At 37.8% G+C, this 17431-nt stretch overlaps 1 protein-coding gene across 7 annotated transcripts in view, besides 1 other annotated feature; it reads right to left on the bottom strand.

Annotated features, from left to right (window-relative positions):
* The window catches only part of MYCT1 (MYC target 1), a 49285-nt gene that overhangs the window by 13558 nt on the left and 18296 nt on the right, over positions 1 to 17431 (bottom strand). Inside the window, exons 2-4 of one of the 7 annotated variants that reach the window (XR_007059337.1) lie at positions 11371 to 11882; positions 6723 to 6960; positions 724 to 923 (exon numbers count right to left, since the gene is read on the bottom strand). Coding sequence is in view for 4 of the 7 variants with exons in the window: in NM_001371624.1 (NP_001358553.1) it covers positions 11371 to 11882 (512 nt within the window). In the remaining 3 variants the exon portion in view is untranslated. Of the gene's footprint in view, positions 1 to 723; positions 924 to 5438; positions 6961 to 9054; positions 11883 to 17431 lie in introns of those variants that run through there. The other 6 variants (XR_007059339.1, XR_007059338.1, NM_001371624.1 and 3 more) reach the window with 6 other exon arrangements.
* Positions 11236 to 12435: an enhancer, noted in NCBI's record as "P300/CBP strongly-dependent group 1 enhancer chr6:153042324-153043523 (GRCh37/hg19 assembly coordinates)". NCBI's record gives its function as "activates an origin of replication core promoter dependent on BRD2, BRD4, P300/CBP, MED14 and CDK7 cofactors, with strong dependence on P300/CBP, by STARR-seq in HCT116 cells {active_cell/tissue: HCT116}" and the evidence as "EXISTENCE:reporter gene assay evidence [ECO:0000049][PMID:35650434]".

The following is a 17431-nucleotide window of genomic DNA, read 5'->3' as shown; positions in this document are numbered from 1 at the left end:
CACTATTTGACCTGACTAGCAACTTCTTGAAAACCCCATTCACAGGGATTGTCTTTATATAACTTCATTCAGAGCTCACTAGGTGGAAAGCTCCCTTTTTCCTCCAAGGCACTTGTTAAAAACAGTCAGCAGCAACTGTTTGATTTTGTAGCTGCCTGATAAAGAGACACCAGTTGGAGTAGAAAGAGGCTGAGCAAAAAATGTTTAAGAAAACCGTGGAAGGCCAGGCATGGTGGCTTATGCCTGTAATCCCAGCATTTTGGGAGGCCAAGGCAGGCAGATTGCTTGAGCTCAGGAGTTTGAGAACAGCCTGGCAACATGGTAAAACCCCATGTCTACAAAAAATACAAAAATTAGCCAGGCATGGTGGCATGCGTCTGTCATCCCAGCCTCTCTGGAGGCTGATGTGGCAGGATCACCTGAGCCCAGGAGGTGAAGGTTGCAGTGCACTGAGATCATGCCACTGTACTCCAACCTGGGTGACAGAGTGAGACACTGTCTCAAAAACAAAGAAACAAAAAAACAAACAAAAGAACAAGCAAACAAAACAAAATAAAAAACAAATAAAAACAAAACCAAACACACAAAAATAAAAAATGAAGTGTCTATAGGGAAAAGCTCTGACATATTCCTGGGGAATCTAGAAACCCACATACATGTGAAGGGCCATGTGTATGCCCAGGAAGGCTGTGAGAAGGCGCTAATGTTTTAACTTTAGCTCACCTTAAGGTTCTGCACAAGAGCATCCATTCCTTGCATCTTCCATGTTCTGACAGGGTCTGGCATTCCTTGGCTTGTGGCTGCTTCACTCCAATATTCAAGATCAGTATTTCTAGAAATCTCTTTCTGTCCCATTTTCACATCACCTTCTCTTCTTTGTGTCTGTGCCAAATCTTCCTCTGCCTTTCTTATAAGGCCACTTGCTGTAATAAATAAATACTACACACTTATAATAAATCCTAATTGTTTTGAATCTATATTTGAAAACTTTAGTTTTTTAAAAACTAATTTCAAAATTAAAAGAATCTGAAATTACATTGTTCAAAGACTAGTTTAGAAAAGTTTTTCCCATGTAAATATTTTTACATATTTATGTATTTTTATTGCATGCCGCTATTTCATTTTTTGTTTACATTCTTTTTCCATTTTGAACTTATTTTGAATCAGAGACTTTTCTCTACAGCTAATTTTCTCCCAAACATTAATTAATCAATTGTCTTAATTTGTTGAAAATTCAACTCTCATCATAACTAATTTCCCATATATGCCTAGTTCTATTTTAGTATTATTTATTTTCTTCTGTTGATTTGCATGACTTTTAATTTTTATTTTAGCTTTAAGACCAGTTTAATATCTGTTAGGCCGAGGATCTTCTGTTACTTTTCTTTGTCAGAATTTTGATGACATTGTTTCTTAAGTTTTATTTCCACATGACATTTTATCTTCATCTAAGTTAAAAGACAAACAAAAGCAAATATAAAAAACAAAACAAAAGTCTGTATGTCAGAATTCTGTCTTTCATCACATTGAATTATAAATTAATTTGGGTATAAACTATCTTAAAATGTTAGACTTCTTATCCACAAATAAGCCTTCCAAACTTACTTGTATATTCTTTTGCATCCTTCACTCTGTAGTTTGTTTTATAAAGTCATTTCTGCAGCCGAGGCCACATGGTGAAACCTCATCTCTATAAAAAATATAAAAATTGGCCAGGTGTGGTGGCATGTGCCCTATAGTCCCAGCTATTTGGGAGGCTGAGGTGGGAGGATAGCTTGAGCCTGGGATGCAGAGGTAGCAGCGAGCTGATATCGCGCCACTGCACTCCAGCCTGGACAACATGGAGATACCCGGTCTCAAAAAAAAAAAAAAAAATGGCGTTCTCTGATGCTTACTCGTGATGCTTTATACCTCACTGGGAGTGGGCTCTTCAATAATTTAAAGTATGGATGAAGCTAGAAACCATCATTCTGAGCAAACTATCGCAAGGACAGAAAACCAAACACCGCATGTTCTCACTCATAGGTGGGAATTGAACAATGAGAACACTTGGACACAGGGTGAGGAACACCACACACCAGGGCCTGTCGTGGGATAGCGGGAGGGGGAAGGGATAGCATTAGGAGATATACCTCATGTAAATGACGAGTTAACGGGTGCAGCACACCAACATGGCACATGTATACATATGTAACAAACCTGCATGTTGTGCACATGTACCCTAGAACTTAAAGTATAAAAAAAATAGAGAAATGCAAACTAAAACCGCTTTGAGCTACCATGTACAATCTATTAGATTAGCAATGATATAATAAATAAAAATTTAATTAAACACACACAAAAAATTTAAAGTAATATTCTTTGTCCTATTTCACATATTTCATCTTGCCCGACTTTTTTTTCACGCTAGGTACACACTAACATACTTTTGCCTGCCCTTTTACTTTCACATTTTCTGAGCCACTTCACTTTAGGCAAGATTTATTGACTTGAAGGTAGGATTTTTTGATTGAAAAGATGTCTTCTGTCTTGTGTATGTGTGTGTGTCTCATTTTTATTTTTATAAAGACAGTAATCTATTTTAATTCTGATATCTTATGCTTTAAATTTTTGTTTTCATTATTATTTTCTGTTTCTACCATTTGTTGTATAACCTGTGCTTTATTTGTCTACATGCCTATTTTCCCAAAAGAGATCATCTATATTTAATTTTGCCAGCAGTTGCTAATATAATTTCAGATAATATGCTTAGACACATATTTCTCAATTTATCAGCTTCAGAAATAAAGCAGTATATATTGAATCCCTGTATTGGTTAGAAATCTTTTCAGCAAGTTATTGTGACCTAATCTAATGTTGTTTATATAAAAATGAAAATTTTATAAAAGGTGATTGTGGTATCTAGTAGATTCCAATAAAGATTTCATTACCTATGAAGGAAAGAGAGATATTCAATAGCTAGGCTTCAGGGACTGCAGGGACCAATGTAACCAAATGCAAGTCTGGTTGCTTCCCACTCGCAAAATCCAATTAACAAGAGTAAGGTCTGGTAGAAAGTCATTTTATTAAACAAAAGTAGTAATGGAGACATGGCCAGATTCCCATCCAAAGCAACCACTTCAATTTTGAGGGGCAAGCCAAGGGCTTAAAAAGGGAAAACTTGATAATGGATGGCACGCAAAAATTGTGCGGAGTACAATGTCTGTGTATCTTGTTCCAGTGGCTATCTTGGGTTTCAATCCACCGGGGAGCATGGGCTGGTGTCATTTCGACAATGGCCAAGTTGTTGACTAGCCACTTTGAAGTAATCTCTGGAATTTTGCACCTGGGTCCAGATTTGGACTTTCCGTCTGAAGATTGGCCCTTGGAACTTCTAAGATGGCACATAATTAGATGCTAGCATACAGTTAGATAAATGTGAAGGGAGTATATATGGTGAGAAAGGGTAGAACATGGAATCTATTTTAAGGCTAAGGAAAATGCTTCTGCAGTTTGCTGCAAGGTTATATCTTGAAATCCAAGAAAAAGAAAAATACAAGTTTTAAAATGCATTTTGAAGTTAAGCTGCCTGGTTACATTAAGAATTTCAATGTGATTGGCACATCTACATTTTACTGCCTCTCTCTGAGGGTTAGTTTAATTCCTTTCTTTCCATGTTGAAGAAAGGGGCTTTTAAATTTTACTTTTTATAGTTTGAGCCATCTGGAAGATATTTGCCTGACTCTGTCTGGATCCCTACCCCAAAACACTTTGCAAAGGCCACTGGATCTACCCAAGTCTGCCATTTGCCCAGTTAGAATGTGGTGGAATCCCTTGTTTCCCTCAGACCCTTTTGGTCTGTTGAGCACCTGTGGTGTAGCTGCTCAGCAGATCACAAGGTTTAAATATGTAGGCTTGAATATTCAGCACACCAACTGGATAAAGCAGGGGGAGTCTGCAGTCTGAGTTTTGACTCTGCAGTTTCTTCCTTAATTTGTGTTTTTCTAACTGCGGCCAATTTCATCCTACCACGAAATGTTCCTGAATTGTGTGGCAGCTGTACCTTGGATTTCAGCTTGGTTCTTTGCATTATACTTCGATGATTTGGTGATAAGACATTCAGCAAGCTACTTTGGTGATAAGACATTCATATGTAAGAGCAATCATTTAACTTTTGAAATTTTTCATACTTATGTATACAGACTTAGGTGTTTATGTTTTTGTTGTGACACTGTATATGTATTCCTCAGGTTGTACAAAACCAAGAGCTAAAAATAGCAGGGCTTATAGAAAAATAAGGTTAAAGACAAACCACTTAAAAAAAAAAACCTGTGGAAATTTGTCACTGGAGCACTAACCAAAACTAACAATCCTAGTAATAATATTAGTGTAGTTAAAATTCCAAAGAACATTCGCGCCTAGCATCAGTGTGAGTCAATACTTATAGCTTTGCATAGAATTTTTATAGCGGTTTTCAGATATTGTTAGAGTTCTTTTCCTTAATTTGAAAAATTCTATTCCTAATTGCTTCAAAACATGAGTGTTTCTCCAAACTGGATATTCAGAGAGATGACAGTTTTGTCCACTTAACTCATTCTCCACAAATCACACCGTGTCCCTAAGCTGGAAAGCACATGTTGTTCTTGATTCTTGATATCCTTGTCAATCATCAAAATTTGACTGTATTCTGTTGCTATTCTTTGTGAATTCTTTTTAATTAATTTATTATCTATTTATTTGAGACAGGGTCTCACTCTGTCACCCAGGCTAGAGTACAGTGGCACGATCACAGCTCACTGAAGCCTCAACCCCCTGGGCTCAAGCTATGCCCTCACCTCAACCTCCCAAGTAGTTGGGAATACAGCCTCCCGAGTAGCTGGGATTACAAGCCTGGCTAGTTTTTTGATTTTTAGTAGAGATGAGGTCTTGCTATGTTGCCCAGGCTGGTCTCAAACTCCTGAGCTCAAGTGATCCTCCTGCCTCACACTCCCAAAGTACTGGGATTACAGGCATGAGCCACCACGCCCTGCCTCTTTGTGAATTCTTAATAGGAGTTTTTAGTTTTTCCACTTTCAGTGTTGTTAAAGGTTTTTTTTTTCTACTTAGAATTCTTTATGTTCATTTTCACCAGTGAATTTCTTAATTTCTTTCTTACAACGATTTTTCCCATTGATCCTGTGAGCTCTTTATGTAAAAGGATTAACTCCTTGTCATGCATTTTGTGAATTTTTTTCCCTCAATTTGCTCCTCAGCTTTGAACAAATACCTTAGGCTACTCCCATCATACCCTACAGTCCTATACTCTCAGATTCTCATTGACCATTTGGCTGTTTGACTTCTGTTACTTAATGGCACCCATTGCCCATTCTTCCTGCCCAACTGTAGTCAGTAATCTAATTTAAGTTTCAGCCCTCTTGTTCTCTATTTTAGCTAAGCAGAGGCTTACCTATGAAGCCTGCTTTTTCCTTTTTTTTTTTTTTCCAGACAGAGGCTCACTCTGTTGCCCAGGCTGGAGTGCAGTGGCATGATCTCGGCTCATTGCAACCTCTGCCTTCTAGATTCAAGGGATTCTCCTGCCTCAGCCTCCCAAGTAGCTGGGATTACAGGCCCACACCACCACGCCTGGCTAATTTTTGTATTTTGAGTAGAGACGGCGTTTCATCATGTTGGCTAGGCGGGTCTCGAATTCCTGACCTCAAGTGATCTGCCCGTCTCCGTCTACCAAAGTGCTGGGATTACAGGCGTGAGCCACCACACCCGGCCTGAAGCCTGATTTTTCAATAAAGACTCTCCCCAGTCTTGAAGTCCCTGAGTCCCTGGCACTCTGAGAATCCCACAGTTCATAAAGGTGTCCATTTCTGCTGTAGCTTTTCAGTAGTGTCAGAGTGACAGCCATTGGGAGCAGGGATTTGTCACTGGCAGCAGTGACACCTGCTGGCCCTGCAGCTCTAGCTCCTGGTCAGGCATTTTGGAACTTGCATCTATCCTTTCCCCAACATACCTTACAAAAGCCACCACATATGCTAGTGCACTTGCATGGCCGTTCTCTATTTTACTTACACCACAATGAAGATCTCATTAAATCTGTTCTTCCAGCATGGCTTCAACTCTCAGAACCACTCTCAAGCTATAGCTACAATATTCTAAGCTCTTCTGTGGTTACAGACACAATGTCTATAACACAAGGATGAGAGATGATCAGAATTTTACCACAACAAAGTATGGACTACTTGCTTTTCAAATCACATTAGGCTCATACTTTGTGTCTCCCCATATCATCTCAGCACAGGGACAGAGCTACAGTGTGTGAGGCCCTGGACAAATATTTTTTGCAGGGCCTTATCTTGTATTTTAAAAATTAGTTAAAAATGTTTTACAAAATTCATGGGCACAAATGAGGTTTAGTGATCTTTCCATATTTTTTTTTTTTTTTTGAGACTGAGTCTCACTCTGTCACCCAGGCAGGAGTGCAGTGGTGCGATCTCGGCTCACGGCAACCTCTGCCTCCCAGGTTCAAGCGATTCTCCTGCCTCAGCCTCCCGAGTAGCTGGGACTACAGGCGCCCGCCACCATGCCTGGCTAATTTTCTTTATTTTTAGTAGAGACAAGGTTTCACCATCTTGGCCAGGCTGGTTTCAAACTCCAGCCCTCCCAAAGTGCTGGGATTACAGGCATGAGCCACCGCGCCCGGCCTCCATAAATATTTTAAGTGAGTTGAGAAGAAGTACTTAGATAGTTATTACCCAGAGATTCTTCATTCTGAGTTAAAGTCACCCCAGATCAGCATGGCAGTACCATTCTGGCTGTCCAGTATCATGTGATTCTGTGAAAGAAATACACTCCCATCAGCAGCAGTGACCTGATTGCCAGGCTGTCCTCCTGAAACTGGGGTTCAATCACAGAGACCGCATAGATAAAAGTCCTGGAGAGCTTCTGAGATAGCTGGTTGACCTGACATGCTAGATACGGGTCAAAGATCACCTGAAAGGGAACGAAAAAAATAAAAAAGGACTAGCATCCACACAGGTCTTGGTGTATAGGCTCATGTGCCCTGTCCAGTTGGCATTGCCAGTCCTGGCCAGTTCTACACACCGAACTGTGATTTAGAAAACTTCAAAGAAGGTAATCTGAAGTGTGGGGCCCCATGAGGCATGGGTCCCACTTGCCTGGGTGAGGGTAGAACTATCCCAGTGTCTAGACTGTGAGGGTCTATTTATCATCAGCCATTCTCTTTTTTTTTTTTTTTTTAGACAGAGTTTTGTTCTTCTTGCCCAAGCTGGAATTCAATTGCACAATCTCGGCTCACTGTAACCTTTGCCTCCCAGGTTCAAGCGATTCTCCTACCTCAGCCTCCTGAGTAGCTGGGATTACAGGCATGTGCCACCACGGCCTGGCTAATTTTGTATTTTTAGTAGAGACAGGGTTTCTCCATGTTGGTCAGGCTGGTCTCAAACTCCTGACCTCAGGTGATCTGCCCGCCTCGGCCTCCCAAAGTGCTGGGATTACAGGCGTGAGCCACCGCGCCCGGCCATCACTTTCTTTGAACTGGTACTCGGGTGAATTTATTTCAAGTTGTAACATTGTAAAAAGATATGAGTAATCTTAAGTAATGGAAGTTTATTCAAAAGATACTGCAGCCATTTTACTCCAGGTCTTTGTTATTTTCGTCTCTCCTTTCCCTTCGAGGTCTCTCAGTGGCAGTTCTCCCATTCTCTCCCTTCATCCCCACCCTCTCACACAAAGCAGGGAAGATCTAGTTCGGTCGGTTACTCACATCTGATACGGAATGCTCTGATCCAGTCCCACATGGCTAGTATAGCAGGCTTGGTCTCCATACAAGTTCATCGCCACTTTTCTCAGAGAAAACCGTGTACCTGGCAGGTGCTAGGAGACTTCGTGGTCTGCCTAGTGCAAGACTCCTGATACATTTCATCAAACTGCCTTCCAAAAGGGCAATGCCAGTTTACCTTGCCACCAGAAATATGTAGGAGCACTCCCTTCTTAGTACATTTGCCAGCAGTGAGGAGATTCATTATTTCATAAATAGTTAGCTATTGTGGGCCGGGCATGGTGGCTCACACCTGTGATCTCAGTGCTTTGGGAAGCTGAGGTGGGCGGATCTCTTGAAGCCAGGAGTTTGAGACCAGCCTGGCCAACTTGGCAAAACACCGTCTTTATTCAAATAATAATAATAATTAGCTAATGTGATAGAAAAAACTACTAGAGTGTTGTTTAAATGTACATGGGCACTTTCTTAGTAGTAACATGCAGTATTTTACCACAAACTTGTAAATCAATTAATTTTTCTCTTTGGTGAATTGCTTGTTTTGGTCCATTACTAATTTATCTATTTACAACTGAGTATTTTCCATATGTATTTATGTGTGCTAATCATGACTTCAAGATATTGGCCATTTTTGCCATATTTATATTAACTTAACTTCTTTCTTCTTTTTTTGTTTTTGCTTGTTTTAGATTTTGGATAAATTTATCTTTTAATGAACAGAATTTTAAATTTTTTTAAATAATCAAAACTGTTAATATTTTCCTTTGTAATTTATTTCATCCCTTTGGCTCTTAAAAAGTACCCCTTTCCTATTTCATAGATTTGCTAAACATTTATTTCAAATTTCCTCTATTTTTTTAGATAGCCATTATTTAAAATGCTTATTCCCTAAATAAAATAATTAAATAATTCTGTAATTATGTATTTAGCTAATGAGATAAGACTCTAAGTTCATGTTTTAAATAAATAATTTACTAATTCTTCCATCTGCATTAATTTTAAAAATCTTGTAAAATTTATTTGTGATGTTCCCTTTCTCCATTATACATTTTTATATGAAAAAGGATTTGTGTCTCAGTCTATTCATTTACAAATAGTCTAGGTTAGGTTTAAATACCAAAGTAAAAAGGAGACTTTTCTTATGCAATAAATTTTAATAAGCTCAAATTCTATAGTATAATTTTCCATCTAATGTGTTTTCCTGATTTAATCTGAATTTTATAATTTCTTGACTCCTTGCTTTTTAGAACAGTGTTGGCATTATTTCATAAATGAATTTTGAATAAAACTTGACATAAATTTATTTTTATTTCACAATCCACAAAACATTTCAAATTAAAGAAATACATTAAAAGTCTCCAGTTTTTGCTTTAATTTCACATTTCATACACTCACAATATTTAGGAAATAGTCATTTTGACTGTCTTATAACTGGGATAAGGGTGCAGCAACAATTCTGCCAGATGGTTAAATGCCCCAGAGGATTTCTGCTCTTCTCTTCCTAATTTGGGAGCTATAAAGCAGTTTTTACTCCCAACACAAATTCTTGATAAAAACCATACTCTTTGCTGATTTTTCATGTTAGACATTAAGGATGACATGCAAGTAAAAAAAAAAAAAAAAAAGTAGCCCTGATACCAAGTTAATATTCCCTTGAAACCTTACTTGGCTGCTAAATTTCTTTGTTGAAAACCAACTTATAACAAATTGGTTATCCGGTTAGCTTTTTTCCCTTTTTCTTCCATTTTCTTCTTGCTCCCTCTTTCTCTTACTTTTTCCTTTTGGCATGTTTAATTAGAGAACATTTTCTATAAGCATTATTAAGAATAATTGTCCTTAAGGAATGATGGATAATATAAGGGAAATGAAAATAATAAAGAAAATGCTACATGGAATCTCTTATTCTTGAACCATGTTCAGACACTATTAGCTGTGACCACTGCAATAGGAAATGAAAAAGAGGGTACTTTTTCACTGAAAATCCCACTGTTCAAAGAAACAAAGAAACGGCCACATAAACTAAATATTCACAATACTGGAAATGAACCACAGACTTTTTGAGTAATACTCCAGTGAACTCATGTCCTTAAATGAGAAGGGCAGCCACAGACATCTGCCCACTGGAACTCTCTGGTGGCCACATTTAGGGATGCATTCTTCCTTACAAGGGCAGCCACCTGTGGAAGTGGATTCTTAAATAACTGTGTGCACCAAAGACCATCTGGCATGGCTTAATCACTGTACAGACTCTGCAGAGAAGTTGGAATTGAGATTCGTAGAGAAGCAAACCAGGAATGATGCCTGATGATTAAGAGTCAATCCAGGAAGGAGAATTCTTCATGGGCAACATCTATTTCAATAACAAACTCTCTCCCCAGTGACTCATACTTATTTGTCTGCAAAGTTACAAAAGAAGATCCCCAGAGAAAGTGCTTTCCAAGTTGCTAGATGTAAGTTTAAGAAAGAAAATTTTTCCCTTAAGAAAAACGTGAGCTTGGTTTTAAACTTGAGGCTTGTTTTTAGGTCAAATGAATTGGATTTTTTCCTGTTGCTTTTCTAACAATGTAACGACAACGGTGAAGAAAAGGTAAATCATCATGTTAGTAAATCCAAGGATTTTGCCTCCAGGAAGTAGATAACTATTCTTGGGAAAAACACATAAAGAGTTTGTCCAGAAAAAATTAGTGTCAAAAATGAAACATCCAATGACACCAAAAGAGTTCAGTTTCCTGTGCTTGAGTCCCACACTTCTTATAATGATCAAATCAAGGAACTTTAGAATGTCCTATGTTCTGTCATTTTGTGCCCACATATTCCATTAAAAATCCAAGATTGGCCAGGCTAATTCCAGCACTTTGGGAGGCCGAGGCAGGAGGATCATCTGAGTTTAGGAGTTTGAGACCAGCCTTGGTAACATAGTGACACTTCATCTCTACTAAAATTAAAAAAAAATTCAACCCGGTGTGGTAGTGCACCCCTGTAGTCCCAGCTACTTGGGGCACTAAGATGGGAGGATTACTTGAGCCTGGGAGATAGAGGCTGCAGTGAGTCCTGATCATGCTACTGCAACTCCCGCCTGGGCGACGGATCAAGACCCTGTCTCAAAAGAAAAAAAAAGAAAAATCTAAGATTGTAAAATGTCAATATGATTCACTTGTCATTCTAAAGAAAGTAAAATCCAAATCCCTTAGAAGATTTTTCTTTAAAGTGACACAGTGATTTTTTTTCTCTTTTTAGTCACATTGGAAGTAAATGAGGATTGTAATCCACAAATATCTGAAGTTTTAATTTTAATTAAAATATATATAATGCATCTTAGCTGATTCTTACATTAGAATCACTATTTTTAATAAGCCTCACATTGAATACAAAATACATAAATATAAAACGCTTGGGGGAAAATATTACATTTTTTGAAACAAAAGGGAAAACGTGTTTGAAGAAAATGTGTTTTACATTGTAATGTCCAACTTGCACAACCATGTTTCAACTTGGAACTCATGAGTTATTTGGGCCATGCCCTCAAAATTCTGTTTAGCCTATTTTTGATTTCCTTTCAATAAAAGACAAGACAAGAAAGAAACAAAAACCAAAAGCCACCCTACTCAGGAATCTGGGAATGCCTTGATGATGGACTCATAGGCAGGTGGGGGCGGTGTTGAAAGGCCCACTCGAAGACTGTTACTGGACCAGTAGTCAGGACGGCTCAGACTGTGGGAAGTGCTGATGGTGGGAGAGATATTGGAAGAAGGGAGAGTCACCAGCTGACTCTCAGTTTCCACAGGAAGTGGTGGACATTGCAGAAAGGGATGGAAAGTAGAAGCTCTGAAACTTGATTTTCTTGGAAAGGAATTTGCTTGTTCCAGGGAAGCTTGTCGCTGGAAGGTGAGACTGGCCAGGCTGAGGTTGCTTCGACGTTCACAGCCACTGTGGCGGTAAAATCCAGTTCTGTTGAGGCCGTGGGTGTAAGAAGACCTAGATCTCCTGCTTGAACTCCACTGTGAGATGGGAGCACTGGCTCTTCTTCTTCGAGACAGACAAATGAACACAGCCCAAATAAATCCTCCAAGTACCAGCCCGATTGCCATGGATACAGTGAAGGACATGATAAGGTCCTCTGAAACAAAGAAAACAAATTGCTAAATCAATTTTTAAATAGGTTTTCAACTAAAAACAAGGGTCAGCATATATACTGTAATTCAAAGAATACATGATTAATTTAAACATACTTTGAATTAGGGAAATAGAAGACAGTGTTAGGTGGATATGAACAAATGGAAGCTGATAATGCTTCCATTTATTCAAGCAGAAAGATACAAAATAACACTTTCAGCTGCGGCATTCCAGGTCACTTAACCTGTTTTATCATCTTTAAGAAATAAAAGATAAAAGTAGTCTTACTTGATGTCATTAATTTATGGCATTTAGTTCATCCATTTTTTACAGAGCTGCAAATGTAGCCCAAAGTTGATTTCCTTTTGAGTTATAGTAGTAACTAATGTGCCAGATTGATAAAGAATTTTGTCATCACTTTGATGTTGCCTTTTCCTCTGTCTGCTTTCATCAATCACATTGATTTCTGCCACCTGCAGTCTTCATGATGCCTCACTTCCTTTGCTCTTTCTGAGACAGGAAGTGCTGGGATAGAACCATCTGGCCAGCTGACTGATTTATGTCATATTTCCTGAACTCCCAGACAGTCACCTATATCTCTGACTCTTTGATGACTTGACCTGTGCAGACTACTGGGCTCTTTCTTGTTTCCCAGGTTCCAGCTCATGCTTCTGTTACGCCCTTGTGATGATGAAATTCCTGTCACCTGAACCTCCATAGAGCCTCGGCTACGTACCAGTATTCTGTAATTTGTAGAACTTGTAATTTGTTCAGATTTCCCTTTCTGGGGAGAAAAATGCCTTTTCCTAATGGAAATGCTACCTTACTGCCTCTTGTAAACTAAATACATATTCTTGAATGAAACTAGGTAACTGAGTCTCCCCTCACCACACCACTTTGCAAAGAAAAATTCTGGGTATTAGAAGACTCCTCCAGCCTGTTGGTCCCCCACATTTCCCCTCCATGATCAAACCCCTTGTCCCCAACGTTTCCCCTCCATGATCTAACCCACAAGTCATGCTCGTTTCTCACTGTACCAAAGCCTGTCATTCTCTCTAAAACTCTGAGCTTTTCCACATATTTGTCCTTTTATCTGAATTCAATTTTTTAAGCTTCTGTCTGGAAAACTCATTCTTCAAGCTCTACCTTCAAGTATCACATCTTCAGTAAAGACTCCTACATTTCCTAGACAAAAATAAGTTACTGCTAAGTAGAAAGGTAAGCTATCATATCTAATTGCTTATGTAGGTAGTCTGTATTGAGAGAGCCATAGCCTGAAAATTAGCTGATGGGTGTTGTGAGACTGGGGAAGAGGAGGAGAAAATAGCCACAAACGTTTTGCTGTTCCTCCCATCAAGAGATAGAGTCTATTTCCCCACCCCTTGAATCTGGGCAGGCTTCATGACTTGCTTTGACGGTAGGATGCAATGGAATTGAAGCTATACAAGTTCAAGCCTAAGCTACAAGAGGCTCAGCATCCACCCTTCCTTCTCTTGGGACCCCTGCCATTGTCAGCATATAAATAAGGCCAGACTAGCCTGCCAGATGATGAGAGACACATGGCCCAGGAACCCCTACTGCCCTAGCCAAGAGCCTGCTAACCTGGACATATGAATGGTGTCATCCTAGATAATTCAGATGCTAGTCAACTCACCAAATGACTGTGACACATGAGCAAAGACCAGCAGAAAATCCACCAAGCTGATTTCATCTCAAATTACCAATCCACAGGATTGTGAGCTAAGCAAATTATTATTAGTTTAAGCTACTATGTTTGGGGGTGGATTGTTACATGGCAAAAGCTCTCTGATAAAGGGTTCCAAACTCAGCTCTGTTCCTAATATGTTTTGTGATTTTTAGGGAATTTGTTTAGACCCACTGATTTCATTATACATATATATAAAGGAGTTAGATTTTATGATTGCCAAGGTTCTTTTTAGCATATTGTAATCTATAATATGTAGACTACCTAGAATGCAGAAATAACAAAACAAACTAATGTTAATAACTACAAAGGAATAATCACTGCTGTCTAATTTTAGGATATAGTTCAGTGTCCTTCCACCATATATTGTCACATTTATCTCCTGTGGAAAAGCTACATTTATTGTGTCCTACTTTCACAATTATCTGTACAAATAATTATATCAACATTCTCTAAAGCAATGGCTTTATGCAAAGTTCCCAGGCACATTTTTTAGTGTATTATATCACTTAATCCTCAAACATCCCAATAAAGGAAATGCTAGCGTTATTCCCATTTAATAGTTGTGGCTACTGAGAGGTAAGTAACAAGCCCATAGTCCCACACCTGGTGAAGGTCAAGTAAGGATCTGAGACCAAAGCATCTTAATTCATAGTTAATTGCTTATTTATTTTCTAAGTGTAAGGTAAGAAAATATTAATCTAAAATGAAAATGAGCAATATAAATTGCATAAAAATTGGTCGATTCAATACCAGAGTATCTTGCAGCCTGTTATGAACAGAAATACTTGAGAGAATGGTGGTTAAATAATATTGTGTGTTCTACAGATATATTTCCATGAATCAATAGCCTTTAGTGGAGACTTTTAAATATCAACAAGCTCAGCTATGGACTCATAGAAATGGAGTTTCAGCTAAAACAAGCTTTTGAAAATGTGTTGGACATAAATTCCTCATTTTATAGATATTGAAACAGAAGCTAAGGTTCATGTGGTAGAATTAACACTTGATTTATTGTAATAATTGATTGGCAAGTATCGGTGGTTAGGGAACTATTAGTTACACTAGTGTATGATACAAATGAGAAGACAAATACTCAAATTTACAAAGTATATGTCCTTCCTATGTGTAAATGTACCTAACCACTACTAGAGTCTGACTGAAGACTCTAAATATCTCAGTATATAAGCAGGCATAATAGATAAAATGTAAAAAGAGATGTTTCCTTGATTTCAGCAAAATGGAGTTAAAACCAGAATCTGAAAGGAGAAAATATATTCAGTTACTCAATGAAAGTATTTAAAGATTACAAGAGTCCTTGTACATGGTCTCTGTGTACGCCCTTTGAGCCTCTCATCTTCTGACAAATCAGATATTCCCAATATAAATGTTATTTATAGTGGAATAATAGCAAACTTTAGATTCGAGAAAAAAATAGAAACTATTTAAATACACAATCAATGAAAAATAATTTCTTGTCTATTATTGTGATTGAGGCCAGGTGCAGTGGCTCATGCCTATAATCCCAGCACTTTGCGAGGCCGAGGTGAGAGGGTCGCTTGAGCCCAGACCAGCCTGGGCAACATAATGGGACCTGTCTCTACAAAAAGTAAAAATAAATTAATTAAATAAAATACAGCAATTGAGTATATTAGCAAAAACAACAAAAATACATGGAGTGAGAAATATATTTATATTTCAGATGACTGTTTTATTTCCAAAATACATTATTGTTCTGATGTAAGAAAACTAGGATAATATCCAAACTCTAATGGGCAAGTTATTATAGAATATATTGGACCATCACAATTTTCTTAAATGACAAGTTTCAGTTTGGGAACTAAAAAGATTATTTTTGTGGCACTAAAACTATAACAATATTTCCATGAGAGGAATTTGACAACAAACCTATTTAAAATGATCATTCTCTGTGGCTTGGTAATACTTTGATTTGATATGGTAAACCTATTGTCTATGCCCAAAATTTGGGGAAATGACTTAAAATGTCATCAAATATTGGGTTATATAGATATCCAAAAAGGATTAAATAATGAATTTAAAATGTACGTGAGAATCATAATAATAATATATACACACAATAATAGGCTATTTAAATTTTGAATGAATATAAAGTAGGATAAGATGGGGGTGCAACGGAAATTATACAAATTACAAAAAAATTGCTTTTGATATGGATTTGTTTAATTTTTGCTCAGTAGAGTACACGCATCATGAAAACGACTTCTTAATCCATAAAGTCAGTAAAATACACACTTTAGAAATTGCATTAGTCTGTTTTCATGCTGCTGATAAAGACATACCTGAGACTGGGCAATTTACAAAAGAAAGAGGTTTAATTGGACTTACATTTCCACATGGCTGGGGAGGCCTCACAATCCTGGTGGAAGACAAGCAGGAGCAAGCCACATCTTGCATGGATGGCAGCAGACGAAGAGAGCTTGTGCAGGAAAACTCCCCCTCATAATAACCATCAGATCTCGTGAGACTTACTCAGTATCACAAGAACAGCACAGGAAATTCCTGCCCCCATGATTCAATTACCTTCCACCGGGTCCCTCCCACAACATGTGGGAATTCAAAATGAGATTTGGGTGGGGACACAGCCAAACCATATCAGAAATCATTGCACTAATTCTTATACCTTGCAGAATATTAAAACACCTACAAATAATACTGCTGACAGAAGAATTTCTAAGACTTCCTGAGGTATATGGTAAAATACTTATCTATCTTCTTAAGCTCCCTTAAGTCCAAACAGCAAAGGCAAATGTAGAAATGCAGAAAGGCAATAAGAAAGAGATGCTGAGTCAAATAACAGGGGTGGTTTTCATACACATTTTTTTTTCATTTAATTATAGTTGATGATTTTTCTGACCTGCCCAAACTAGAATTTAGAAACTGTGTGATGAAAGCAGCATCTACTGGTCATACAGCTTTAAATTTTCATATATGTAATTCCATTCTGGCAGACTTTTGACAATGTATTTTGGGAGCCTTTTTTAAAACCTAGTGTAGAAGAAAATGTAACTGAAAAAAAAGACATTGGCAAAGATATTACTTTTTAAAAAATGATATGCCTTCTTACTTCTCAACAATCTAAGGAGAAGAAAAATGAGCCATAATCTTTCTTCTTAATAATTGCAATATAATGCAACTTATGAGACCAAATGATTACTTTTAAAAATGTTAACTTTCCTTTTGAAAGCAGAAGGAAAAAACTCTAACATTGGTCAGCTATGCCATATAAATTAAATATATGTCATCCTAATTTGTAATACGTACCTACAAAACTAGCAAGTAGATGGCACATAACAAGCCCTCAACGAACACTGGCTCTTACTGCTAATAGTTGTGTAATTTCCTCAAGTCATTTGACCCTTCTTGGCCTGATAATAACAGCCACGTTCGTGTCTTCCAATTTTAATATTGTAATATTGAATATGATTTTTAGTAAATATAATCAATACCTCAAATTCCATCCACTGGTATTAAAATTTAGTAGAGGTCACCATCTAGTGGCCTTGAGTTGAAGCATTCCAACTCTGAAAGTGATTTATCAGTGATGGCAGAATGTAACATTGTTTAAAACATTCAAAAACCCTTTGCAGTTGTTAAGAATCATAAGTTCAATGTTCACCAAAGCAGGCCATGAAGTCCTTGGTATCATAGAGTGTATAGGAGAATGGTTCAGGCAATAGAACTACTTTTGACGAAAAGGGCTTTTAGGGAGAATAATATTTAGGGCATAGAAATTTGATTGATTATAATAATTTAAACAGCCGAGGAGTATTTTCCATTATATCTCATGTGCCAGAACATCTTATTGG

This window comes from Homo sapiens, chromosome 6 (genome assembly GCF_000001405.40).
Source record: "Homo sapiens chromosome 6, GRCh38.p14 Primary Assembly".
NCBI lineage: Eukaryota > Metazoa > Chordata > Mammalia > Primates > Hominidae > Homo > Homo sapiens.
Note: the sequence above shows the minus strand (reverse complement) of the source record. Positions and strands in the feature narration are given on the sequence as shown.